The sequence below is a fragment of the Homo sapiens genome, chromosome 10 (genome assembly GCF_000001405.40).
Source record: "Homo sapiens chromosome 10, GRCh38.p14 Primary Assembly".
Classification (NCBI taxonomy): domain Eukaryota; kingdom Metazoa; phylum Chordata; class Mammalia; order Primates; family Hominidae; genus Homo; species Homo sapiens.
In genome coordinates this window covers 22,384,894-22,412,035 of record NC_000010.11, presented here as the reverse complement: position 1 = coordinate 22,412,035, position 27,142 = coordinate 22,384,894, and the positions used below count along the sequence as shown (strand labels likewise).

The 27,142-nt window shown below is 36.9% G+C and overlaps 1 protein-coding gene across 6 annotated transcripts in view, besides 2 other annotated features; it reads right to left on the bottom strand.

Annotated features, from left to right (window-relative positions):
* The window catches only part of SPAG6 (sperm associated antigen 6), a 72,115-nt gene that overhangs the window by 5,575 nt on the left and 39,398 nt on the right, over positions 1–27,142 (bottom strand). For 3 of the 6 annotated variants that reach the window (NM_001253855.2, NM_001253854.2, NM_012443.4), the window contains 6 exons: positions 25,077–25,282; positions 24,040–24,213; positions 22,724–22,876; positions 20,116–20,307; positions 10,759–10,875; positions 860–1,005 (listed from right to left, as the gene is read on the bottom strand). In NM_001253855.2, the coding sequence (NP_001240784.1) occupies positions 860–1,005; positions 10,759–10,875; positions 20,116–20,307; positions 22,724–22,876; positions 24,040–24,213; positions 25,077–25,282 (988 nt within the window). The remainder of the gene's footprint in view (positions 1–859; positions 1,006–10,758; positions 10,876–20,115; positions 20,308–22,723; positions 22,877–24,039; positions 24,214–25,076; positions 25,283–27,142) is intronic. The other 3 variants (NM_172242.3, XM_005252646.3, XM_047426030.1) reach the window with 3 other exon arrangements.
* Positions 2,654–3,192: an enhancer, noted in NCBI's record as "NANOG-H3K4me1 hESC enhancer chr10:22697773-22698311 (GRCh37/hg19 assembly coordinates)". NCBI's record gives its function as "activates a minimal SCP1, AML or CMV promoter by ChIP-STARR-seq in naive H9 embryonic stem cells {active_cell/tissue: H9 hESC(naive)}" and the evidence as "EXISTENCE:reporter gene assay evidence [ECO:0000049][PMID:30033119]".
* Positions 3,193–3,733: an enhancer, noted in NCBI's record as "NANOG-H3K4me1 hESC enhancer chr10:22697232-22697772 (GRCh37/hg19 assembly coordinates)". NCBI's record gives its function as "activates a minimal SCP1, AML or CMV promoter by ChIP-STARR-seq in naive H9 embryonic stem cells {active_cell/tissue: H9 hESC(naive)}" and the evidence as "EXISTENCE:reporter gene assay evidence [ECO:0000049][PMID:30033119]".

Here is a 27,142-nt window from a genome sequence, read left to right as displayed (position 1 = left end):
CTACTAAAAATACAAAAAAATTAGCTGGGCGTGATGGCGGGCGTCTGTAGTACCAGCTACTCGGGAGGCCGACGCAGGAGAACGGCGTGAACCTGGGAGGTGGAGCTTGCAGTGAGCCGAAATCGCGCCACTGCACTCCAGCCTGGACGACAGAGCAAGACTCTGTCTCAAAAAAAAAAAAAAAAAAAAAAAAAAGATTCAGTTGTTTAAATCATTCTCTTTTTTTGCTTTTATTTATTTAGAGTTTAGTGGAATAGTTCTCCATTAGGCTTACAAGGACCGAGGCTTAGGTTGAATGCTCTGCAAATCAACTTCATTTAAAAATGAATCTTTTTTATTAATCCTGAAAATAGCATCTTGCTATATTACTCTGAAGTACCTGTAAATAATAAACATCATTTTGGGGTTTTTTTGCATTTAGATAATAACTTTTTTGTTGTTACTCAACATCTCTTTTCTACCTGTGATAGTCTCATTAATGTAAATGTGAGCTTAAGGTAGAATAGTAATATGCAGGGAACTATGAAACTCAGAATCTATAGGCCTTTTATAATCAGGTATTCACAATTTAAAAACTGGTTACTTTGAACTCTATATTTGGGTACTCTTTAGTAAAGCACATGTTAAATTAGTACAAAAATGTCTTAAATGACATTCCAGTTTGAATTGGAAATGTGCGTGTCAGTCAGATCATTAATTAATTTGGCAGGGGGAAGAGATCAAGAGAGAAATAAAGGTACATATTGGCCTCACATCGTATTTCAAAGTCCACATTTTGACACAGTGGATATAAAACCTAGATGTGAAAACAGAAAAACTACATTCTAATATTGAACGTTTCAAAGTCCATTTTCCCCACCTCACTATTTCCTCGGGGTAACAACTGTTAATACTGTTGATGTATTCTTGAAGGAGAGAACCAGGTTCTGCTTTTATCTCTTGAACTTTTTTAAGGCCACCACTTGTTACAAAAAGTCGTCGAGCTTTGCTATCATGCGGCAGCACCTTGCAAAGTGAAGCACATAAAATGTCAGCTTTTCTTTTCCAAGTTAGATTATTACTATTGAAAAGCAATACTGTATGTGAGAAAATGTAAAAGAGAATTTATACCCAATATACCTATAACATAATGAGCCAAATCTGCTGCTAATTTGAAGTGAAATGTGCTTTTTAGAATGTGTTAATTTTTAGGTTGAAGAAATGAAATAAAGGCAATGAACATGGGCAAAGGCAATGGAGATCCACTCACAGATGTAAAATATAAAGCTTACACCATTCAAGGTCTCTTTGCTCCCTAAGAATTTAAAGGCAAGCTCCTTAACAAGGCACAAAGGGTCCTCTGGGACCCAGCTCCTAAATACCTCTCCAGCCACCACTAATCTCCATCCTAAATATTGTTTCAGTAACATCACAGCATGCATGCTGTGTCATCTCTTGCCTTTGCCCACGCTGCTACCTCTTCCTAAAATGGCTTTCCACACTCCACAAACCTCTCCCCTTATGCTTGGTTAACTCTTAGTCATCTTTTAAGACTTAGCTCAAGTGTCACCTCCTTTAAGAATCCTTCTCTGGAAGCCCCTATCCCCTTATCCCAGGATGAGTTGAGTCCTTTTCTTCTGTCAGCATTCTGTCAAACCACCATCCACGTGCTTACCACATAATACCTAAATACCACATAATATTTTAATTTTAATTTTTAATTATCCATTATATGTCTGTCACAATGTCACTGAAGGCAGAAACTATACTTGAGTTCATTCATTCATTTCCCTCGTGCCTGGTACCTAACAGAGGTTCAACAAATGTTTAACAAATGAATGAATATACTAAAGAGTAGGCATAGAAAGGGGACTGAAATGTTAGAGAGACAGAAGATCAGAAACGTAAGGAATCAATAAATCCAAGAGAAGGTTTCTTAAAGCAACCAATGAAAACTAAAAAACAAGTCACTGGATCTGACAGTGAAGAGAAGGTGCTGAAGACTTGACTAAAGGCAGCTGTGTGTGGAGGGGAGGTTGAGGAAGGCAGGCTATCAGCAGCTGAGGAAAGTGTCCCAAGTAAGGAAGTCAAGGCAAACTTTAAAGTTTCAGAAAGAGAAAACAGGGTATCAGTAGACCACGGTAGGATAGAACTAAAGGCTAAAGATGTTGCAGGTTTTGATCTTAGGATCAGGGAGACTTGAGCACGTTTGCAGGTTGACAGGAAAAAGCCAGTGGAAATGAAGAAATTTATTATGAGAGACAAAAAAAAAGACTGACCAGACTAGGAAGGTCCTGGGGAAGGGGTGGGGTCACAATGTGGGAAGTCCTGCTCTCTTCCTTAGTCACTGCTACTATCCCTCTGACCGAAACGCTCTTTTTTTCTGATCTTGTTCCTTCTGCAAGGACCAGCTCTTTTCACTTGTCCTTCCTCCATTGAAGCCCTATCTGAAGACTTCAGACTATATTCACTCATTCCTTCTTTTAAAAAAAGTTTATCTCCAAGTCTAGTACATTGAAATGTTTTCTAATTGTTTTGTCTGCTCTCCTCAGCTAGATTATAAAGTTCCCTGAAGAACAACTTAATCTTTTTTGTCTGTTCCCCAATGCTCAACAGAGAGCTGGGTACATGTAGGCATTTAACAAATAATTAAAACCACAAAAGGATCTTGCTAATAGAGCAATAATATAAATCAGCTGGACAACAGAAGATTGCACTAGTATATATTTGTAAAAAATGTAATATTCTATAAATATATTGGTTTTACATATTTCATTTGGCCTGGAGAATTTTCATTACTTCCTATCTCTGTCCCCAGCCACTTCAGTATCTTTTCACCTTCTACCTTGCTTTATCATCTCTTTTTAGTGCTTTGGTATCTTTAGATTAAGAAAATATTCATGGGAGGTAGGAGCCAAGATGGCCGAATAGGAACAGCTCCGGTCTACAGCTCCCAGCGTGAGCCATGAAGAGGACGGGTGATTTCTGCATTTCCATCTGAGGTACCAGGTTCATCTCACTAGGGAGTGCCAGACAGTGGGCGCAGGTCAGTGGGTGCGCGAGCCGAAGCAGGGCGAGGCATTGCCTCACTCGGGAAGCGCAAGGGGTCAGGGAGTTCCCTTTCCTAGTCAAAGAAAGGGGTGACAGACGGCACCTGGAAAATCGGGTCACTCCCACCCAAATACTGTGCTTTTCCAATCGGCTTAAAAAACGGAGCACCAGGAGATTATATCCCACACATGGCTCGGAGGGTCCTACCCCCACAGAGTCTCGCTGATTGCTAGCACAGCAGTCTGAGATCAAACTGAAAGGCGGCAGCGAGGCTGGGGGAGGGGCGCCCGCCATTGCCCAGGCTTGCTTAGGTAAACAAAGCAGCTGGGAAGCTCCAACTGGGTGCAGCCCACCACAGCTCAAGGAGGCCTGCCTGCCTCTGTAGGCTCCACCTCTGGGGGCAGGGCACAGACAAACAAAAAGACAGCAGTAACCTCTGCAGACTTAAGTGTCCCTGTCTGACAGCTTTGAAGAGAGCAGTGGTTCTCCCAGCACGCAGCTGGAGATCTGAGAACCGGCAGACTGCCTCCTCAAGTGGGTCCCTGACCCCTGACCCCCGAGCAGCCTAACTGGGAGGCACCCCCCAGCAGGGGCACACTGACACCTCACACGGCAGGGTATTCCAACAGACCTGCAGCTGAGGGTCCTGTCTGTTAGAAGGAAAACTAACAAACAGAAAGGACATCCACACCGAAAACCCATCATCATCATCAACATCATCAAAGACCAAAAGTAGATAAAACCACAAAGATGGGGAAAAAACAGAACAGAAAAACTGGAAACTCTAAAAAGCAGAGCGCCTCTCCTCCAAAGGAATGCAGTTCCTCACCAGCAACGGAACAAAGCTGGATGGAGAATGACTTTGACGAGCTGAGAGAAGAAGGCTTCAGGCGATCAAATTACTCTGAGCTACGGGAGGACATTCAAACCAAAGGCAAAGAAGTTGAAAACTTTGAAAAAAATTTAGAAGAATGTATAACTAGAATAACCAATACAGAGAAGTGCTTAAAGGAGCTGATGGAGCTGAAAACCAAGGCTCGAGAACTACGTGAAGAATGCAGAAGCCTCAGGAGCCAATGCGATCAACTGGAAGAAAGGGTATCAGCAATGGAAGATGAAATGAATGAAATGAAGCGAGAAAGGAAGGTTAGAGAAAAAAGAATAAAAAGAAATGAGCAAAGCCTCCAAGAAATATGGGACTATGTGAAAAGACCAAATCTACGTCTGATTGGTGTACCTGAAAGTGACGGGGAGAATGGAACCAAGTTGGAAAACATTCTGCAGGATATTATCCAGGAGAACTTCCCCAATCTAGCAAGGCAGGCCAACATTGAGATTCAGGAAATACAGAGAACGCCACAAAGATACTCCTCGAGAAGAGCAACTCCAAGACACATAATTGTCAGATTCACCAAAGTTGAAATGAAGGAAAAAATGTTAAGGGCAGCCAGAGAGAAAGGTCAGGTTACCCACAAAGGGAAGCCCATCAGACTAACAGCTGATCTCTCGGCAGAAACTCTATAAGCCAGAAGAGAGTGGGGGCCAATATTCAACATTCTTAAAGAAAAGAATTTTCAACCCAGAATTTCATATCCAGCCAAACTAAGCTTCATAAGTGAAGGAGAAATAAAATACTTTACAGACAAGCAAATGCTGAGAGATTTTGTCACCACCAGGCCTGCCCTAAAAGAGCTCCTGAAGGAAGCGCTAAACATGGAAAGAAACAACCGATACCAGCTGCTGCAAAATCATGCCAAAATGTAAAGACCATCGAGACTAGGAAGAAACTGCATCAACTAACGAGCAAAATCACCAGCTAACATCATAATGACAGGATCAAATTCACACATAACAATATTAACTTTAAATGTAAATGGACTAAATTCTTCAATTAAAAGACACAGACTGGCAAATTGGATAAAGAGTCAAGACACATCAGTGTGCTATATTCAGGAAACCCATCTCACGTGCAGAGACACACATAGGCTCAAAATAAAAGGATGGAGGAAGATCTACCAAGCAAATGGAAAACAAAAAAAGGTAGGGGTTGCAATCCTAGTCTCTGATAAAACAGACTTTAAACCAACAAAGATCAAAAGAGACAAAGAAGGCCATTACATAATGGTAAAGGGATCAATTCAACAAGAAGAGCTAACTATCCTAAATATATATGCACCCAATACAGGAGCACCAAGATTCATAAAGCAAGTCCTGAGTGACCTACAAAGAGACTTAGACTCCCACACAATAATAATGGGAGACTTTAACACCCCACTGTCAACACAGACAGATCAACGAGACAGAAAGTAAACAAGGAAACCCAGGAATTGAACTCAGCACTGCACCAAGCAGACCTAATAGACATCTACAGAACTCTCCACCCCAAATCAACAGAATATACATTTTTTTCAGCACCACACCACACCTATTCCAAAATTGATCACATACTTGGAAGTAAAGCTCTCCTCAGCAAATGTAAAACAACAGAAATTATAACAAACTGTCTCTCAGACCACAGTGCAATCAAACTAGAACTCAGGATTAAGAATCTTACTCAAAACCGCTCAACTACATGGAAACTGAACAACCTGCTCCTGAATAACTACTGGATACATAACGAAATGAAGGCAGAAATAAAGATGTTCTTTGAAACCAACGAGAACAAAGACACAACATACCAGAATCTCTGGGACGCATTCAAAGCAGTGTGTAGAGGGAAATTTATAGCACTAAATGCCCACAAGAGAAAGCAGGAAAGATCCAAAATTGACACCCTAACATCACAATTAAAAGAACTAAAGAAGCAAGAGCAAACACATTCACAAGCTAGCAGAAGGCAAGAAATAACTAAAATCAGAGCAGAACTGAAGGAAATAGAGACACAAAAAACCCTTCAAAAAATTAACGAATCCAGGAGCTGGTTTTTTGAAAAGATCCACAAAATTGATAGACCGCTAGCAAGACTAATAAAGAAAAAAAGAGAGAAGAATCAGATAGACGCAATAAAAAATGATAAAGGGGATATCACCACCGATCCCACAGAAATACAAACTACCATCAGAGAATACTATAAACACCTCTACGCAAATAAACTAGAAAATCTAGAAGAAATGGATAAATTCCTCGACACATACACTCTCCCAACACTAAACCAGGAAGAAGTTGAATCTCTGAATAGTCCAATAACAGGATCTGAAATTGTGGCAATAATCAATAGCTTACGAACCAAAAAGAGTCCAAGACCAGATGGATTCACAGCCGAATTCTACCAGACGTACAAGGAGGAGCTGGTACCATTCCTTCTGAAACTATTCCAATCAATAGAAAAAGAGGGAATCCTCCCTAACTCATTTTATGAGGCCAGCATCATCCTGATACCAAAGCCGGGCAGAGACACAACCAAAAAAGAGAATTTTAGACCAATATCCTTGATGAACATTGATGCAAAAATCCTCAATAAAATACTGGCAAACCGAATCCAGCAGCACATCAAAAAGCTTATCCACCATGATCAAGTGGGCTTCATCCCTGGGATGCAAGGCTGGTTCAATATATGCAAATCAATAAATGTAATCCAGCATATAAACAGAACCAAAGACAAAAACCACATGATTATCTCAATAGATGCAGAAAAGGCCTTTGACAAAATTCAACAACTCTTCATGTTAAAAACTCTCAATAAATTAGGTATTGATGGGACATATCTCAAAATAATAAGAGCTATCTATGACAAACCCACAGCCAATATCATACTGAATGGGCAAAAACTGGAAGCATTCCCTTTGAAAACTGGCACAAGACAGGGATGCCCTCTCTCACCACTCCTATTCAACATTGTGTTGGAAGTTCTGGCCAGGGCAATTAGGCAGGAGAAGGAAATAAAGGGTATTCAGTTAGGAAAAGAAGAAGTCAAACTGTCCCTGTTTGCAGACGACATGATTGTATATCTAGAAAACCCCATTGTCTCAGCCCAAAATCTCTTTAAGCTGATAAGCAACTTCAGCAAAGTCTCAGGATACAAAATCAATGTACAAAAATCACAAGCATTCTTATACACCAACAACAGACAAACAGCCAAATCATGAGTGAACTCCCATTCACAATTGCTTCAAAGAGAATAAAATACCTAGGAATCCAACTTACAAGGGATGTGAATGAAGGACCTCTTCAAGGAGAACTACAAACCACTGCTCAAGGAAATAAAAGAGGATACAAACAAATGGAAGAACATTCCATGCTCATGGGTAGGAAGAATCAATATTGTGAAAATGGCCATACTGCCCAAGGTAATTTACAGATTCAATGCCATCCCCATCAAGCTACCAATGACTTTCTTCACAGAATTGGAAAAAACTACTTTAAAGTTCATATGGAACCAAAAAAGAGCCCGCATTGCCAAGTCAATCCTAAGCCAAAAGAACAAAGCTGGAGGCATCACGCTACCTGACTTCAAACTATACTACAAGGCTACAGTAACCAAAACAGCATGGTACTGGTACCAAAACAGAGATATAGATCAATGGAACAGAACAGAGCCCTCAGAAATAACGCCGCATATCTACAACTATCTGATCTTTGACAAACCTGAGAAAAACAAGCAATGGGGAAAGGATTCCCTATTTAATAAATGGTGCTGGGAAAACTGGCTAGCCATATGTAGAAAGCTGAAACTGGATCCCTTCCTTACACCTTATACAAAAATCAATTCAAGATGGATTAAAGACTTAAACATTAGACCTAAAACCATAAAAACCCTAGAAGAAAACCTAGGCATTACCATTCAGGACATAGGCATGGGCAAGGACTTCATGTCTAAAACACCAAAAGCAATGGCAACAAAAGCCAAAATTGACAAATGGGATCTCATTAAACTAAAGAGCTTCTGCACAGCAAAAGAAACTACCATCAGAGTGAACAGGCAACCTACAAAATGGGAGAAAATTTTCGCAACCTACTCATCTGACAAAGGGCTAATATCCAGAATCTACAATGAACTCAAACAAATTTACAAGAAAAAAACAAACAACCCCATCAAAAAGTGGGCGAAGGACATGAAGAGACACTTCTCAAAAGAAGACATTTATGCAGCCAAACAACACATGAAAAAATGCTCACCATCACTGGCCATCAGAGAAATGCAAATCAAAACCACAATGAGATACCATCTCACACCAGTTAGAATGGCGATCATTAAAAAGTCAGGAAACAACAGGTGCTGGAGAGGATGTGGAGAAATAGGAACACTTTTACACTGTTGGTGGGACTGTAAACTAGTTCAACCATTGTGGAAGTCAGTGTGGCGATTCCTCAGGGATCTAGAACTAGAAATACCATTTGACCCAGCCATCCCATTACTGGGTATATACCCAAAGGACTATAAATCATGCTGCTATAAAGACACATGCACACGTATGTTTATTGTGGCACTATTCACAATAGCAAAGACTTGGAACCAACCCAAATGTCCAACAGTGATACACTGGATTAAGAAAATGTGGCACATATACACCATGGAATAGTATGAAGCCATAAAAAATGATGAGTTCACATCCTTTGTAGAGACATGGATGAAACTGGAAATCATCATTCTCAGTAAACTATCGCAAGAACAAAAAACCAAACACCGCATATTCTCACTCATAGGTGGGAATTGAACAATGAGAACACATGGACACAGGAAGGAGAACATCACACTCTGGGGACTGTTGTGGGATGGGGGTTGGGGGGAGGGATAGCATTGGGAGATATACCTCATGCTAGATGACGAGTTAGTGGGTGCAACGCACCAGCACGGCACATGTATACATATGTAGCTAACCTGCACATTGTGCACATGTACCCTAAAACTTAAAGTATAATAATAATAAATTTAAAAAAAAAAGAAAATATTCCTGAAGGCACATTTATAAGTGTATATGATACAGTACTGTATTTATTTTATCTTGGGGCTGTCTAACTTCCACACATCCCACTGGTTTTATGTATTTTGAACTCTTAATGTAGGTTAGTGTTTACTTTCATAGCTACTTCAATAAAATCAGAATATCTCACTCACTAGCCTAAAAGATTAAACTACAAAATGAAACTTTCAGAAATAATGTCAATTACCCAGTTCAAGAACAGATAACTCTGTCTGTAGATGATCTACTCAGCCCCTTACCCCTTATCACTCTTAGAGGACCAAATTAGCTGGTCACCTTCTTAGCACCCAAAAGTATACAAAAAATAAAGAAATGGATCAATTTCCCTTGCAGTAATTTAGTCTTTTCTCTGCATTATTTGGTTATTTAGTTGGTTTTTCAAGAGGGCATGCCATTATATTCCTCACATCCCATATAACTAAGAGGGGCAGTTTATTTTATTGGAAGGAGGAAGAAAGGACATAGGTGTTTGATACACAGAACTGTATCCTGCCTGGGTGAGTGGCTTCAGCAATGTGAAACTTCTACTTTCCTGTGGCTCTGGCACTTGACGGCCAGTCATACTGTTGGAGGTCATGAACAGAGTTGAGAGAACTGAAGGCTGTTAGCAGACTCTATCTTTCAGATGAAGACCTAAAACTAGGCAAACTTATCTGTAGGGACTACTTTAAAAGTTATAACAATACATAGTTTTTGTTCATTATTTGTAGAAACATAGTGTATGAAGAGTAATATCTCATTTATATAGCATTATAACTGACTATTCAAATGAATTTGCCACACCCCATTCATTTTTTTTTAAATCTTTTAAATTAGCCTGACCCGCTTGCATGTTTTATTTCTTAAATACAACTCTTTGGTTGTTTTTGTTCTTTTGCGTGCTTAATATGTGCCTGGGATTGAGCTAAATGCTTAGCATACAATATCTCATTTACTCTTTACAATGACCCTATGAAATAAGTACTCTAATTATTTACATTTTATGGGTAACCAAACTAAGGTTTAGAGAGGTCAACATTTTGTTAAAGAATTACAGAGCTGGTAAGTGGGAACTCCAGGTACTCCAATTCAGAACCGAGCTCATAACCACCATGGGCTACTACTTGTACAGACCCCATTTTCCTAAGTCAAATTCACTGAGCATAATTTAGCCAGCTCTTGATAGCTTAGGGTCACCATCCTGACTATCAGTGTCTGTGGTAACAGAGTCATTCTCTTTTATCCTTTGCTATTGGTAATCAGCTCTGCTGGCTGTGCCCACTTATAGCAGCTTGACCTTTCTACCTTACTACCATTTACTATCATTTAATCTGCAACAATCTAAGAAATATGACAGCTATATTTGTTAAAATTGTTCACAAAATAAGTCGATATGCTCCAAATGACTGTCTGAGAACATCTCCAGTAAAGTACATGGACTTCATGAAAGATATTTCGGTGGCTCAGAAACCTTTTTCCTTTTCTCTTTATGATCTTTGCCATATTCCCAGGTGAGTGAAATGAAAGACACTAGAAAGATTACTAAAAGTCACTTATCAATATAAATTATCTATATTATGAGAGCTTTCTTTTCTGGGAACACTTAAAAAGACAGTAGAGACTCTAAGGAAAATGTGAGGATGAAGAAAGTGTTTTATTTACATGTGAATTTTATTAAGGTAACTTCTCTGTCCATACAGATTGGTGAGAGTTAAGCAGTAAAACCATGACCCCGTGTTACAGAAAAAGCTACTGACCCAACAGAAAAAAAAAATAACAACAAATCATTTTAATTTTCTTCCTCCCCTTAGAGGCTGGCATTTCTTACCTTACTGAACTGTCCAACCACATGTTTCAGAATATTGGGAGGAGCATCATATAGAAATGGTTCAAGGGCTGGTAAGTAGGTACATTTTTGCAGGATATTCTTTATGGCTTTTTTACTCTAGAAATACAAAGCAGAATGTATACATAAGTAAGTAATCAATGAAACCTTGACAAGAATTCAAATCTGACATTCCTGGAATTTCAAAATAAAATCAATTTCCTGGTCTAAGCTGCAGTTGTTTCATTTTTTAAAATTGTTGTCCAAAAAAAACTCCTGCTTGGATTGATTTTATCATAGAATATCCTACAAGTTGTCTTTGTGTTAAGCCTTAAAATGTAAAGTGTATTACTGAGCTCTTAAAATACCTAGAAGAAAATTAAAATTATAAAGCACAAAGTTACAGACTATAAATTAATATGTACTATATTAGAGTAAAAATTTGTATACAGGAAACTGAGATAACTAATATATCCCATTTCTACTTATCAACAAATACGAGAAAATAATTTGGTTTTTTGAAGAATGTCATTATCAGGCATTCTATATTCTCCATGACTTCATGGCTTATACATATGCAGTCAGAAGTGGCTACAGTGTGCATTATTCAATGAGCATTTGCAGAGGTGCTGCTATAGCTCGTAGGTAGACATTTCCCCATTCACAGAAGCAAAACAGATAGGATCTACTCAACTACAGATCTTCTCAACACAGGGAGTGTATCACCCACAAGCAGAAGAATACGTACCATATGTACCATTTCTACCCCCTCCTGCACTCCGTATTTCAAGGTGACATCAGGTGGTGCTGACCCTTGCTACAAGTGGAGAAGGACCCTGATGGGGCTGCAGCACATCACAGCAGCCAGCCCTCAGGCCATGGCTGGTTGTGATTCATTTTCTTTTTCTTAAAGGCTGTCCCCTTCAGTTTGGAAAGCTTCACAACAATTGGGTTTGTCTCCAGCTATTTTCCACTAGAATTCCACATCTGCTTGTCTGAGGTTTTGTGCTTCAGTGCTCCCTTATGGCTTTTCTCTTCACTTATTCTCTCTCTGAGGCCTTACCCAACCTGGTCTTCTGGGATCACCACACTGTTTTGCTATTGAGTGTTTTGCAGTGCTCTTGAAATGTCAAGGAGCATTGTGATTTTCACATCATGAACTTTATAATTGGTAAATCTATTCAGCAAAACTTTACCACAGGTGTGTTGTTAGTAAAGAATCTCTTGAATTTAAGGTTTCCTGGAGACCCAGGCTAAGCAGTCTTGCATAGCCTCTTATTGCTTGACACATTTATCCTCAAACACTGTTTTATAAATTAGATTAAATAAAACAAGGAATGTAAAATATGCAGCCCAGCTTTTTCCCACAAGTAGTATAATGTAAGTTGGAATTAAACTCTCAATTCCCAACATACTTGGGAACTATCTTAAATCGTGATAATCTTAGCAAGCTAACAAATTTAACTTCACTGTTATCAGTGAAAAGGTTCTTGAACAGTGTAGTAGAAATCACATACACTGTACAATAAAGACAGCCTTATTCTAGTAGTTCTAAGTTGATGTATTGTCAAGTTATTAATCAAGAACTGTAGAAAAGAGTCTAATGACACTAGAAATTCACTGAGCTTTACTATCTTTCATGTGGAAGAAATATAATCAGCTTATGATTATATTCTTCTAGATAGAAATGTATATCATAATTAATAATCAGCTATATTATCCAGCATGATAGAAATCCTAGTTACTTAAGACTTTCTTTGCATGTCTATTTGACAATGAAAAGGAATGAAGTACTGACACATGCAACAACATGAATGAACCTCACAAATGTTACCCTTAGTGAAAGAGGCCAGGCACAAAAGTTCATATATTGTATAATTTCATTTATATGGATTGTCCAGAAAAGTCAAATTCAGAAACACAGAAAGTAGATTAATAGTTGTCTGGAGCTGGTGGGTATAATTGAGAGGAGGAAGAGGGAGTGACTACAAATGGGCATGAGGCTTCCTTCTGGGATGATGAAAATATTCTGAAATTTGATTGTGAAGATGGTTGCACAATTCTGTAAATTTACTAAAAATCATTAAATTGTATACCTAAAATGAGTGAATTTATGGTATGTAAATTATATCTCAATAAAGTTGTTAAAAAGACTTAAACTCAGCCAGGCGCGGTGGCTCAGGCCTGTAATCCCAGCACTTTGGGAGGCCAAGGGAGATGGATCACCTGAGGTCAGGAGTTCGAGACCAGCCTAGACAACACGGTGAAACCCTGTGTCTATTGAAAATACAAAAATTAGCCAGGTATGGTGGTGGGTGCCTGTAGTCCCAGCTACTCAGGAGGCTGAGGCAGGAGAATCGCTTGAACCCAGGAGGCGGAGGTTGCGGTAAGCTGAGATTGTGCCATTGCACTCCAGCCTGGGCAACAGAGTGAGACTCTGTCTCAAAAAAAAAAATAATAATACTTAAACTCCTTTCTTGAATTGCAAATATTTTCTCCAAGTTTGTGTGGCTTGTCTTTTCATTTTCTTAATGTTAACCTTTTCTTTTTTAAAGACAGGATCTCACTTTGTTACCCAGGCTACAGTGTAGTGTCAGGATCATAGCTCACTGCAGCCTCAAATTCTTGGGCTCAAGCAATACTCCTGCCTTAGCCTCCCAAATAGCTAGGACTACAGGGATGTACTACCACACTCTGCTAGTTTTGTTTTGTTTTTTGTAGAGATAGGGTCTCACTATGTTGCCCATGTTGGTCTCAAAACGCCTAACCTCAAGTGATCCTCTTGCCTTGTCCTCCAAAGTGTTGGGATTATAGGCATAAGCCATGTGCCCAGGCTTAATGGTGTCTTTTGAAGCATAAGAGGATTTTTTTTTATCTTGATGAAATATAATTTATCAATTTTTAAAATCACTTGTGTTTAGGTAAAATATCTAAAAAATAATTGCCTAACCTGAGGTAACACATATTTATTCCCAGGTTTCTTCTAAGAGTTTATAATCTTAACACTTATATTTAGATCTAAGATCCATTTTGAGATAACTCTGGTATATGGTATGAGATAAGGGTCCAAATTGATATTTTTACTTGAGGATACAATTGTCCCATCACCTTTGTTGAAAAGACTATTCTTTCCACATTAAATTGCCTTGGCATCTTTGTGAAAAATCAATTGATGATAAAAAGGGTTTATTTCAGATTCTCAATTCAATTCCATTGATACATACATATGTCTTTCTGTAAGCAAGTACCACATTATCTTGATTACTATAGCTTTGTGGTACATTTTGAAATTGGGGAGTGTTAAGTTCTTCTTTTTCAAGATTGTTTTGCTAGTCTGGGTTCTTTTCATTTCCACATGAATTTTCAGATAAGCTTCTCAATTTCTGGGGGAAAAAAAAGCCAGCTAGGATTTTGATAGAGATTATGTTAAATATATAGATCAATTTGGAGTATTGCCAGTTTATCAATATTGAGTCTTCCAGTCCATGAACATGGAATGTCTCATAATTTATTTTTTAAGTAATGTTTTATAGTTTTCAGTGTACTAGTCTTAAACTTTTGTTAATTTATATGTATTTAATGCTTGATGTTATTATGAATAACATTATTTTCTTAACTTCATATTTGAATTGTTTATTACCTGTACATGAAAATACAATTGAGAGACCAGCAGCAGTGGCTCACACCTCTAATCCCAGCCACTTTGGGAGGCCGAGGCAGGTGGATCATTTGAGCTCAGGAGTTCAAGACAAGCCTGGCCAACATGGCAAAACCCTGTCTCTACTAAAAATACCAAAAAAATTAGCCAGGCATGGTGGTACATGCCTGTAATCCCAACTACTCAGGAGGCTGAGGCACAAGAATCACTTGAACCTGGGAGGTGGAGGTTGCAGTAAGCTGAGATTGCACCACTGCAATCCAGCCTGGGCAGCAGCCCAGCCTGGGCAACAGAGTGAGACCCTGTCTCAAAAAAGAAAATACAAATGATTTCTGTATATTGATCTTGTATCCCATGACTTTGTTGAACTCTTATTAGTTCTATGATTTGTGTGTGTGCGTGTGTGTGTGTGTCTGTGTGTGTGAATTCCTTAGGATTTTTTTACATACAAGATCATGTCACACGTTGGTTTTAAGATTCATTACCTTCTAGAAGATATGCATTATGATTGGTTGTTTATGGCTGTGAGCAAAATAAAATAGCCCTTACAACTCCATACCATGAATTGTACAGAAATTTTATGGGGTCAAAAAAACTCTCCTATTTACCTAGTTCAGTAAATCAAGTAATATCTTACCTTGAGCTAATGAATAACAGATTATAAATTTTCCTAATTGTCATTGCATTTAGTAGTTAATGTTTATCCTTAGATACAATATATGACGATGTCAGAGAAGGAATCCTGGGCTATCTATTGAGGGCATTCTGAGGGTTTGGGCCTGGTTTACCTATTAACTAGCATAGCATCTACAGTTCTAACTTCATTCATTTTTCCGTCATTTCTAAAAACTGACTGTATCCTCCCTGATTAGGGCTATTGGAAAAACCACAGTAAGTAACAACACTATTTTTTTTACCTCTTAACACTACACATAAAAATAGCAATTAACAAAATAAAATTGACAATACTATGGGAAACCAATACAATTTCAATTGTTTTTCACTAAAAATTGGAAGAATACCAAAAATTACTAATTGTTGCTTTCCTTAGTGGATTATTGATATGGCTTGCTCTCAGTGTTGGAGAGTAAACATAGTAGAGTTTGTATTGGTCTGTTTTCATGCAGCTGATAAAGACATACCCGACATGGGGAAGAAAAAGAGGTTTAATTGGAGTTACAGTTCCACATGGCTGGGGAGGCCTCAGAATCACAGCAGGAGGCAAAAGGCACTCTTACATGGCAGCAGCAAGAGAAAATGAGAAAGATGCAAAAGTGGAAACCCCTGATAAAACCATCCACTATCATGAGACTTAATCCCTACCACAAGAACAGTATGGGGGAAACCACACCCATGATTCAAATTATCTCCCACCAGGTCCCTCCCACAACACGTGGGAATTATGGGAGTACAATTCAAGATGAGATTTGGCTGGGGACACAGAGCCAAACTATATCAGAGTTCTCATGAGATCTGCTTGTTTCAAAGCATGTAGCACCTCCCCCTTCGCTCCCTCTCTCCTGCTCTGCCATGTGAAGACATTCTTATTGCCCCTTTGCCTTCTGCCATGATTGTAAGTTTCATGAGGCTTCCCAGCCATGCTTCCTGTACAGCATGCAGAACTGTGAGTCAATTAAACTTCTTCATCAATTACCCAGTCTCAGGTAGTTATTTACAGCAGTGTGAGAACAAACAAATACAATTATCTTGAATGAAAACTGCTGAAAAATTTTTAAAAATTCTTTTCAGAAAGTTATTTTTGTTCTGAAAGCATTGTGGTCCAAAGAGTAATAGCTATTAAAATGAAGAGGAACATAGGAGTAAATCTTTATGACCTTTGGTTAGACAAAGCCTTCTTAGATACAACACAAAAAGCATATGCAATTGAATTTCATTAAAATTTAAAACTTTTGTGCTGCAGACAATATCATCAAGAAAATAAGATAACCCACAGAATGTGAGAAAATACTTGTAAATCATACATCTGATAAGATCTTGCATCCAGAATATACAAAGAACTCTTACAACTCAATAATAAAAAGATAAATAACCCAGTTTAAAATGAGCAAAGGGTCTGAATAGACATCTCTCTAAAGAAGACGTATGAACAGCCAATAAACATATGAAAAGATTTTCAACATCATTAGCCATTTGACAAATGCAAACCAAAACCACAATGAGATACCAATTCAAACCCACTAGGATGACTACAATCAAAAATAAAGATAATAACAAGAGTTGACAAAGATGTGGAAAAAGTGGAACCATCATACCTTGCTGGTAGTACAATGGAAAACAGTTGGGCAGTTTCTCGAGATGTTAAACAGAGTTATCTATTGACCCAGCAGTTTCATCCCTGGGTAAATACCCAAGAGAAATGAAAACATACATCCACACGAAAACTTGTTACAATAATGTTTATAACAGCATTATTCATAATAGTCAAGAGTAGAAATAATCCAACGTCCATCAGCTGGTAAATGGATAAACAAAATGTGACATATTAATACAATAGAATATTATTTGGCAATAGAAAGGAACAAAATACTGATATATGCCACAACATGGACGAACTGTGAAACTTCAAGTAAGTAGTAAAGAAGGCAGGCACATGGCTAGGTGTGGTGGCTCACACCTCTTATCCCAGTGCTTTGGGAGGTCAAGGTGGGGGACTGCTTGAGGCCAGGAGTTCAAGACCAGCCTGGGCAACACAGTGAGACCCTGTCTCTCCAAAAAAAGAAAAAATTAATTAGCCAGATGTGGCAGTACACACTTGTAGTCTTAGCTACTTGGGAGGCTAAGGCAGGAGGATCACTTGGGCCCAGGAGTTCAAGGCTTCAATGAGTTGATTATGCCACTGCACTCCAGTCTGCAACAGAAAGAAACCCTATCTCTAAAAAGGTTATATATGTTGTATGACTCCATTTAAATGAAATGTCCAAAAGAGACAAATCCATAGAGACAGAAAGTAAATTAATGGTTGCCTGGGGCTAGGCAGAGGGGATACAGAATCACAGCTAATGGGTAGCATTTCTTTTATGGGGAATAAAAATATTCTAAAATTAGATAGTGGTGATGGTTTCATAATTCTGTAAACATACCCAAAACCATTCAATGGTACACTTTAAATGGATAAAGGTATGGCATGTGAACTATAGCTCAATAAAGCTGCTAAAAAATGAAGGGGGAACAACTATTACCGTAAGAACACAATAATTAAATAATTATCTTAAACATAGTTTTATAACTAGAATGAGCTGATTCAAATGCCAAAGTAAGATGAAACATTTCAATATGATGCCTCTAAATCCAAACAAATAAAGGTATAACTGCCTGAATATTTTCAAAACATGTAGATAAGCTTATTAGAAAAAAACTTCTTTTCCATTTTTATTAAGAGATTTGGAATAACATGGGAGCAAATAGTAAGAAAATCTATAGAATGTGAGAAAGTATTTACAAATCATACATTTCATAAGAACTTGTACCCAGAATATACAAAGAACTCTTACAATTCAATAATAAAAAGATAAGTAACCCAATTTAAAATGAGCAAAGGGTCTCAATAGATATTTCTCCAAAGAAAACATGAGAGAAATTCCAAAAGATTGCTCATTCGTTCTCCTGCATGGAAACCAATTAGAGAATGCTTACAGAAGCTGACATGCCTTTGGGACAAAATGAACTTCAACATGGGCTTATAATTTGAAACCTGCCATAGAGTAACAAATGAGAAATACCATTAGACAGTTCTTGACACTCTTGGATACACTTTTCCCTACTGAGATGGTGTCAAATCGAACAGGCTTGAATGGACTTTTATTCTACACCCTTTAAAATAACAACTGAGAGAATTCACGAGACCGTGGGGAAAGAAAAAAGAATGATCAAATCCCTACAATAATAAAATATTTGGATGGGCTCGAAGCCTTTAAAAGATTGTTGATGGAATAATGATTGGTAAAGATCCCACTTTTTCACTTACTACTCAGTGTATTTCCTGAAAGTAACACTGTACTAAATATAGGCAGAAGGAAGTTAATTTCTATTAGTTAACCTAAAAACACCACTTGTTAAACACAATGAAATTTATCTTACTTCAAAAAGTGAAGTTTTCAAATTTATTTTTCTCCAGTGATATGTATACAACATAATATCATAATAATTTATTAAAAGGCAAGATATATAAGGTAGTAGTATATAAAAAGTACATACTCTTACCTAAGGGACTATTTGCAAGGGCTTCTCAAGCTGAAATTACTATTGAGTCCACTATTAATGATTTATGCTCTAGCTCATACATCCCTTTACTTTATTTCCAAAACTTAAGAGGAAACTCAGGAGGGTGGCAGGAGAGGGTGGAAGAGGAGAAGGAAAGGAGGAGGAGAAAAACAACAATGATAATGGGTTAAAGAAATACGAAGCCAAAAGAGGACTACAGATATAGGTTACAATTATATACACGTATACATGTATATCAGCTGTGCTTGGACAACTTAAAGCTAGGAATAGAGTTTTGGTTTCTCACCAGAAAGTTAAAGAGACCTGCTAAACTAGAAAAGACCTTACATTGTTAATCTTTCTCTCTTTACCAAGCATTGCCAAAGAATGCACATGTGAGAGACATATGAGGGAAGTTCTAAATCTATTAAATAATTGTTGGTCTAGAAAGCCTTATAAAAACTGAAAAAAAAAGTTAAATCTTAGAAACCAATTTCTCTCAATGCATTAGTAGAGAAATAATATGCAAACATGACCAAATATACATAAATTTACTTTTATAAAATTTACAAGTCAAATAGATAATTCACTATACATAACTTTCAGAGTCCCTTAAGTGTATACTTCAAGAAAACTTCCCATCTCATTATGCCATCTAAAGTTAAGTTTCACCAAATTGTTTTCCTATTTGTTTACTGTTTTAATTAAAATTTAAATGTAATTTAATTTACTGTTAAATTATTGTCTGTTCTGTGAACTTCCCTCAAACCAAGTCAATTTTACAAGCTGCTTTCAAAAACTTACAAGTTTTCCTAATAGGAACTATGCTGGAAAACATTTTATTTCTTTTTTTTTAAATTATAAAATCATTAAATAATCCATCCTTCTTCATATTCATGTTTTGTGAAGCATTTTAGTAGCTAGTAATATTTCAGAAAATCTGCCTTTTAAAAATGCATGATTTAAAAATATTTAATTTAGTGAGTCTTATAGACAATTTTTTAAAGAAACAAATATAAGACATATAATTAAAAGGTCAGGTGACCTTGGAATTAAAGAGGTAAATTATGGGTTCAAAAATGCCCTCTGACTAGTTATATGATACATTTGAAAGGTACCTTAAATTCTTTTGGATTTCACTTTTAAATGTAAAATGAACTAGAGGTCTCTCCAGCAAATTCAAACTAAAAAATTCTATTATTCTTCAATTCCCACTACATAAGAAGAGTCAACAGGAATGTAGACTGCATTAACCATTCATTTTACAAACAACTTTGCACCCATAGAGAATTTTCTCTAAAATATATCACTGATTTTTAGAGACAGGGTAACTCATTTTCAAAGAAGAGTGAAGTCAGTTCTGATAAATTTGTATTTCTTGACTCATAAAACAATATTGTCCATGATGAAAACAAAGAGATTTGAAATGACATATTTTTTAAATGAGCCAAAATCTTCATAAAACAGAATTAAGCACTTACTTTTACTTGGAGATCCTCAGAACTTTCTGTTGACATGTACAAAGAAAGCAGAACTGGCAAAGTATTTGTGACTGCAACAGCCCGTGCGTGTTCAGGAGTGTGTCTTCCAATCTGTCCTAAGGCCCAAGCAGCTGCAGCCTTAATATGATCTTCCGGTTCTTCTGACAAGCAGACTGACAACTGGGGTACACCCTGCAGCGTGGATCAAAAGAGCAAGTGTTATGAATCTAGAGCAGGATTAAAGAGTCTTCCATGTCTCTCAAACATGAGAAGAAATCACTTCGGCCTTGATCCTTTTTTTCTTAAATGGTTCAATAAATGAGCACATCACAGGGGCTGTCATTTCTTAAGTCAATAACATGACTAGAACTAAATTACCTTAATTATCGGTAACGATTCAACTAAACCAAGAATTTCTCTACTAGCTTTTACCCCCCAAATAGAGAGGTATTTAACCAGACAACAGATGTCACAGACTAGGAAATAGGCAAAGCCAGATTTTACTGTGACTAAATAAAAATGTTTAGAATTTTAAAATCATTTATTTTCCTTTGTTAAAAAGTTTAGAATCTTTAAAGAAATTGTCTTTTCACCAAATATAATAAACCTGATATAATAAGCCTGAGAATAAAATAAATCAGTAAGAATCCTAAGTACCTTGTCAGCGGAATATATTCACTAACACCTTTCCTGAAACAGTACATAAATAACTTTCCATCAATTATGGTCAACTTTTAAATTATAGTTCTTTCCACTTTAACATGACTGAATGTCAAAACAACGACTACTTTTGTTACACAGCACATGCTTACATTTTGCATCTTATGCTTCAATTTTATCTAAACAATAAAAACAGAATAAACTAAAGAGCCTCAAATACATTACATTTTGTATACCCAAGGAACAATTTTAAAAAATCAAATTCTAATTCCAAATTCTGTACAGGTGTAATTTTCTGACTAATTTGAGATTATGGTAATCACCTTAAATTTGGTACCACAAAAAAAGATCACATGGTTATGCTACCACAGCAAAGGCCAGAATCATCATATATACTTTTATTCTTTGCTTTTTAATTTGGTTATTAAGACCAATTTCCTGAAGAGGTCAGCTATATTTCTTCATTGGCTTCTTTCCTACAACTAAAAATGTATGTCTGCCAATATTAAAGGTCAGACCTGTCTTCAGAATGAAGCAACTTTCCAGAAAGCCCACATGTCCAGGATGTAACAAGACTGAAGAAACAGGAGGAAAAGGAGACAGTGCCTCTACTCCATCCCTGAAGCTCTGACTTGTTGGCCTCAATTATAATGAATAACAAATAAGATAAGGAATGCAAATTTGCTTTAAAATTACTATTTAAATGTAAAGTATTATTGTTAGTCTTTATAGTACCACACAGGAAAAGCAGAGAGTGCTACCATACTATGTGGCTTGCCCGAAACTGCTGGAGTTTCAGCAAGCAACACCTTGATCTCTATCTGAAAAACAAACCAAGTGGGAAAGGCCAGCAGCAACCTTAGACCAAAGAAGGGGAGAGCTCCCTGGTTAATTTCAGGAAGGCATATGGGAAGCAACGGCAATTGCTTCTTCTTTCATCATTCTTCCCATGCATAAGCTTCATGACTATCCACAAAAGAACCAAGGATCAAAAACCTAGTAACATCCTTACCGTGACCCTTCAGAAAGCACCACTATTGCTCTAGTCACTATCACAGTCTGTGGTAGTAGAAGAACAAAAGGAAAAGAGCAGGATAAAAGGGAGTAAAGCAAAGAATTATCAAGAAATAGGTAGAAAATAAAGATCTGAGGCTCCTTTTTATTCTGAGGATTAGTAAGGGATAAAAAAAATCCACATTTCTGTTTAACATACAGCAGCAGGTTTTCTATGCTGATAAGAAACCCACACCCCAGAGGGTCACCGCACACACTGTAAGCACACAGGCTTTGAAGCATTCGTCCAGAGATCAATATTTATTCATTAGCACACATTTCGTAAGCACCTACTATGTGCCAGGGCTGCACTAGATGAGGGGTTCTTACAAAATTGTGAACTGAGATAAAGCAAAAGCCCTAGAGCAAGGAAACAAAAACACTGACATGTGCTCTGAATTGCCTAAATCTAAGAAGAGAAATAGTTAATAAAAGCTGAAGAAGAGAAAGTGGATAAAAAGGGATGTCCTAGCCATTGTCATCTCCCACTGAAGTGGCAGGAAATGGAGGGGTATATAGACCTCCCAGAATACTGAAAATGACTACTGGGCATGTCATTTACAAATAGGTGTTTCTAACCAAGGTAAGCTTTACATGTTTGTAGATATGTACAATTAATCCTTCAAGATACAAATAAACTTAATATTTAAATACAGATAATACTAATGCTCAAAATAGTTGATATCCTGTTGATGAGAAACGCTGAGTAAAACTTTAAACTTCCCATTACCTTGCTAATAAAACTTGCTAATAAGCATTGAAACAATCAAAATTTTTTTCAGGTAATTTTTTTGCTCCAGTCAGTTATATTTTGTATTCTGTTGGAGAACATTAATCTGTGGTTCTGTCTTAGAATTTCTTACTGCAACTGGAAGAAAACGAAGCAAGAACAAACCTTAGAAATGATGACTGCCATTGCTAGGTTCTCAGAATGAGCTGCTACATAACCAAGCATCATGATGCCAGGCAGCCGTGTGTTCCCTTTGCAGGACCCAATGCAGTCAATCACGGCAGCAACCCCTCCTGCGTTAACTACCAGCTGTGAAAGCTAAGCGATGGGAACAAGAGTTAGATCACCAGGACCCTATGATGGTCTTTAAATACAGTTTAATATTGCCACACTCTATTTAGAACCTAAAAACAACTGGTGAAATTGAATTATCATTTAGTGAAATTATTATATTTATTAAAGAAATATACAAGTACAATAAACCTGCTAGTTCAAATGCACAAACTGTGAGGAGCTTTACTCTGTGGTTCAATTTTTCATGCATCGATGGCACAACTTTTATCCCTATTATAATGGATGTCAAAATTCCTCATGTAGACTCTAAGCCTAGGGCTGGTTCATAACTAACTACTGAAACCCCCCCATCACAATGGGTGAGTATGAAGCAGATTAATCACTGAATGGTGAAAGACAATGTCGGACTTGAAATATTCTAACCTAATTATTCCCCCTTTGCTAGTAATGATTACTAGCTGAGTGCACTTTAATTTTGAAAAATCTCAAGCAAATAAAGATGTTAGATGAAATAAACAATGAGGACTTAAAGTTTAATGAAATAAAAATTGATTAGTCAAAATATACACAGAAAAAAGATACTTCAGAATCAACACAGGCTTGCTTTCTCTCTATTTCTTTCCCATCTAGGAACTCAGGGCGGGAAATCACCATGTAAGAGCAGCTACTGGAGTGGTCACAGTAGGCCAGGGGACCTTTGTGATTTCTCCCAACCTGGAGCTATAATAGTGTTCTCACTACTCCCAGCTGACATAAAATTGTAAGGATGGCAAAGTTCCATTGTCCTCACAATCTACAAATGGAAAGTTGGAAATGACTAGAAACAGATTTCAAGCTCAAACTCTGCTAATATAACCCAGTGTTCTCAACTGGAGGCAGTTTTGCTCCCTGAGGAACACATGGCAAAGTATGGAGACATTTTTGATTGTCACCACTTGCGGGAGAAGGGTGCTTTTGGCATCTAGTGGGCAGAGGTTAGGGATCCTGCTAAACATCCGTCCTACAATGTGCAGGACCAGCTCCCCACAACAAAGAACTACCCAGTCCAAAACATCAGTAGAAGACGAGAAATCCTGACTCAACTAGATCATGTGCCACAACCCCTAGGCCCTATAAACAAATTGATGTTTTATTTAAAAACTAAAACTAACTACTACATATTATTGTGCCTTGAAGTTTCTTTTCACCTCGGGTGTATGTTTTGCAATCTCTCTAATTAAAGTAGAAGCATTTTTCTTCACGTATTCATCCTTGTCCTTCAGACAGGTAAGTACAACTGGAAAAATCTCTGCTTCAACAACCATTTCTGCCAGATCCACGGAATGTTTTGAAACCTGACTGAGAGCTGAAAGGATCTGATGCTGTGAAGCAAAAAAAAAACAACAACAACAAAACACTATATAGCATCCACTACAGAGTTCAGATGTAATGTAAACAGTTTTATATATATTCAAATTCCTTTATAAAAGGAAAAAAATGTACATGCCTAAACAGCCTAAGATTTCTGAGTCTTGAGACATTCACATTCAAGTCTTATACCCAAGTTCTAAAAATTCCTAATTTCCAAATTAGTTCTCAATATTTTGAAACTCTATCTATTACAGATGATTAAATAACATGACCTCTGGATGAATACCACTTCTTAATTATGCAACACTGAAATTGCTAATTTATGAGACAGGTGATCATTTAGTACAAAAATCATCAAGCAGAACAATATCTTTGACATGATGCTGATACCATTTCAAAGAATGTTCCATTGCTTAGTTAATGTTAACAATTTTAAAACATTATAGGATATAACTATTAGAATATAAAAGTATAATTGGTGACTATTAACTAAAAATCAGATTTTAGAAAGCTATAAAAAAGGCTAAGATAAATATTGCAATTTCCATAAGAAACAATATTATAGTGGTGGGTTCAAAAATCTTTAGGTCTTTTCCAAACCAGGATTTAATTATTATGTGATTCTGTATTTTAATTATTAATGTTAACACTGTTGTTACTTCTGATCTTGTACATAGTTTCCCCAATCACATCTTTATCTAATCCTTACAGTATTATTTTCACATATTAAGAGACCAAATACATAATATATTCATATCTGTTTTCAATGATAATTTGCTAATTATTTTTAGATGCAAAATATTCACGTGTACACATTTCCATTTTCTTACATTATAAGAAGGCTGATGTATTTTTCAACCTTATTTTGAAATACCTTCAATTTAGCATCAGGGTTCAGGATCATCTGGGCTAAATGAGCAACAGCTCCTGCATCCACTACTGTCTGTGCTAACTCTGGAGAATGCTTTGCAATATCACTGAGGGCCGAAGCAGCAATCCTTTTCAAAGCAATTTCTGGCTCCTGGATACAGAGTACTAAAAGAGGAACAGCTCCTGCATCCACCACAGCTTGTGACAGTTCTGTGGGTCCAAGAAAAGTAATTAAGTGAGTATGGGTGACTGACCCTTGTGCAAGCCATTTTTCACCCTGACAGATACAGCAAAGAAAAAAGGGGAGGGTGTACTTCACTCTCTCAACATCTGCATTTCAAATCAGGCTTCCTGGTTTCATAAACCATGTGGACCAATCCTGAGCTGAAAAGAATACAGGTCAATAGATGGACCTCCATTTACATGAACACATTTGAGGTAGATTAGGCTGAAATGGCTTGTTATTCTTTTTTTTTTTTTTAAGAGAGTAAGCAGATGTCAGCTGTTTAAGCTCTGACAATTCTGCACTTCTCAATAGACAAGCATTTTATGCATGGTTTACAATAACAGAGAAAATTTAAGTACCAAAAATTTACCAACCACACTAATTAGGCAGTATTTTGTGCTATTTACGTGAGTAAACATTAACATCAATCTTGTGCCAATAATGTCAATTTTTAAATTCCTTTTATCTTGTAGTACTTTTAAAAGATTTTTTAAAAATTTCATACAAAATAGAAAGCTGCCTTTTCATTGTACATATAAAAATACTTTCAAAAATGAGACCTACTACTAATCAATAAACTTTTGTATATAAATGCTAATGTTTAGATACAAGAATAAATTTATCTTACTCTTGTCAGAAATCAAGTACATATCTTTTGAACATACATGTTGATTTACTTGTATGTCCAAGAATAACAGCTACAAAAATAGCACACTTTAAATTACAGATAATGGGAGACAGGCAAGCAGACCCATATAATATCATGAAAAAACTGCCTTTTGAGAAGCATAAAGCACCACACACAGTTACAGATTCTACTCACATTGTATTCACGGCCCCTCTTACTGAATCACAGACACCCATTTCTGGAATCTCTTCCTTTCAAAATATGTTCTTATTTTCCCAGATGTGTAGTGCCTTAGTTATATATAAATGTCTTAACTGTCAAGCTAAGAGCTCTATTTAGCATATCACTTAAAGTCTTTAATTTGAAGATAATACAGTGTTTGATTTTTCAAAGTATTGGTAATATCACAACCTCTAAAAGAAAATGTTAGCAAATACAGGTTAGTGTCCAATATTTGCTTTCCTTAAATTATCATAATTATCTTAGAAGTCCCAATATTGTATAAACAGTTCATTCATTCTTCCATTAAACAAGTATTAATGGAAGGCTATTAAGTGACAGGCTCATTCAGCTCGGCGCCAATGACACACTTCTGCAAATTACCACTACATTCGTTGGCAAAGGTATGTTTCAATTTTTAAAATTTGGTGTAAAAGCTAGTATACTATGGGAAGTTCTTATGTAATCTCAAGAACGAGAGGCAGATGACAGGAATATATTTTGTTTTGCTCTGTTTTTAAAATAGAAGACAATAGCCAACAGACTGCAGTATCAATCTAGCAATACAACAGGTTCCTCAGAAACAGCCTCTGGGATGCTACTGCAATAGACTGAAGACCATGAAGACAGCAGGTGACACAGGTGGTCACTGTTTCTCTTCCCCCACCACACCCCCACACCCATCCAAAGGAAATGGGAAAAAAATATAAAATGTTATATTACATATAATTTCTAAATAAAATACTCATTTTCTGATAATTAACATTCTGCTTAAGAATTCGACTCTATCCAAATTATACAAGTGTCATATAGTAATAATTCATATGTCCCTATTTAAGCACACCTGGAATATATATATCTAGTGGGCTGAATATTTTGTTTTGATGTATTTTCACTTTTATATCCAGTTTCTACGAGTAAAGAATATGTAGCAAACTACAACGGTTTAAAAGTACTATTAACAAAAACTCAAGATGCTTTTTAAAAAAACATCTAT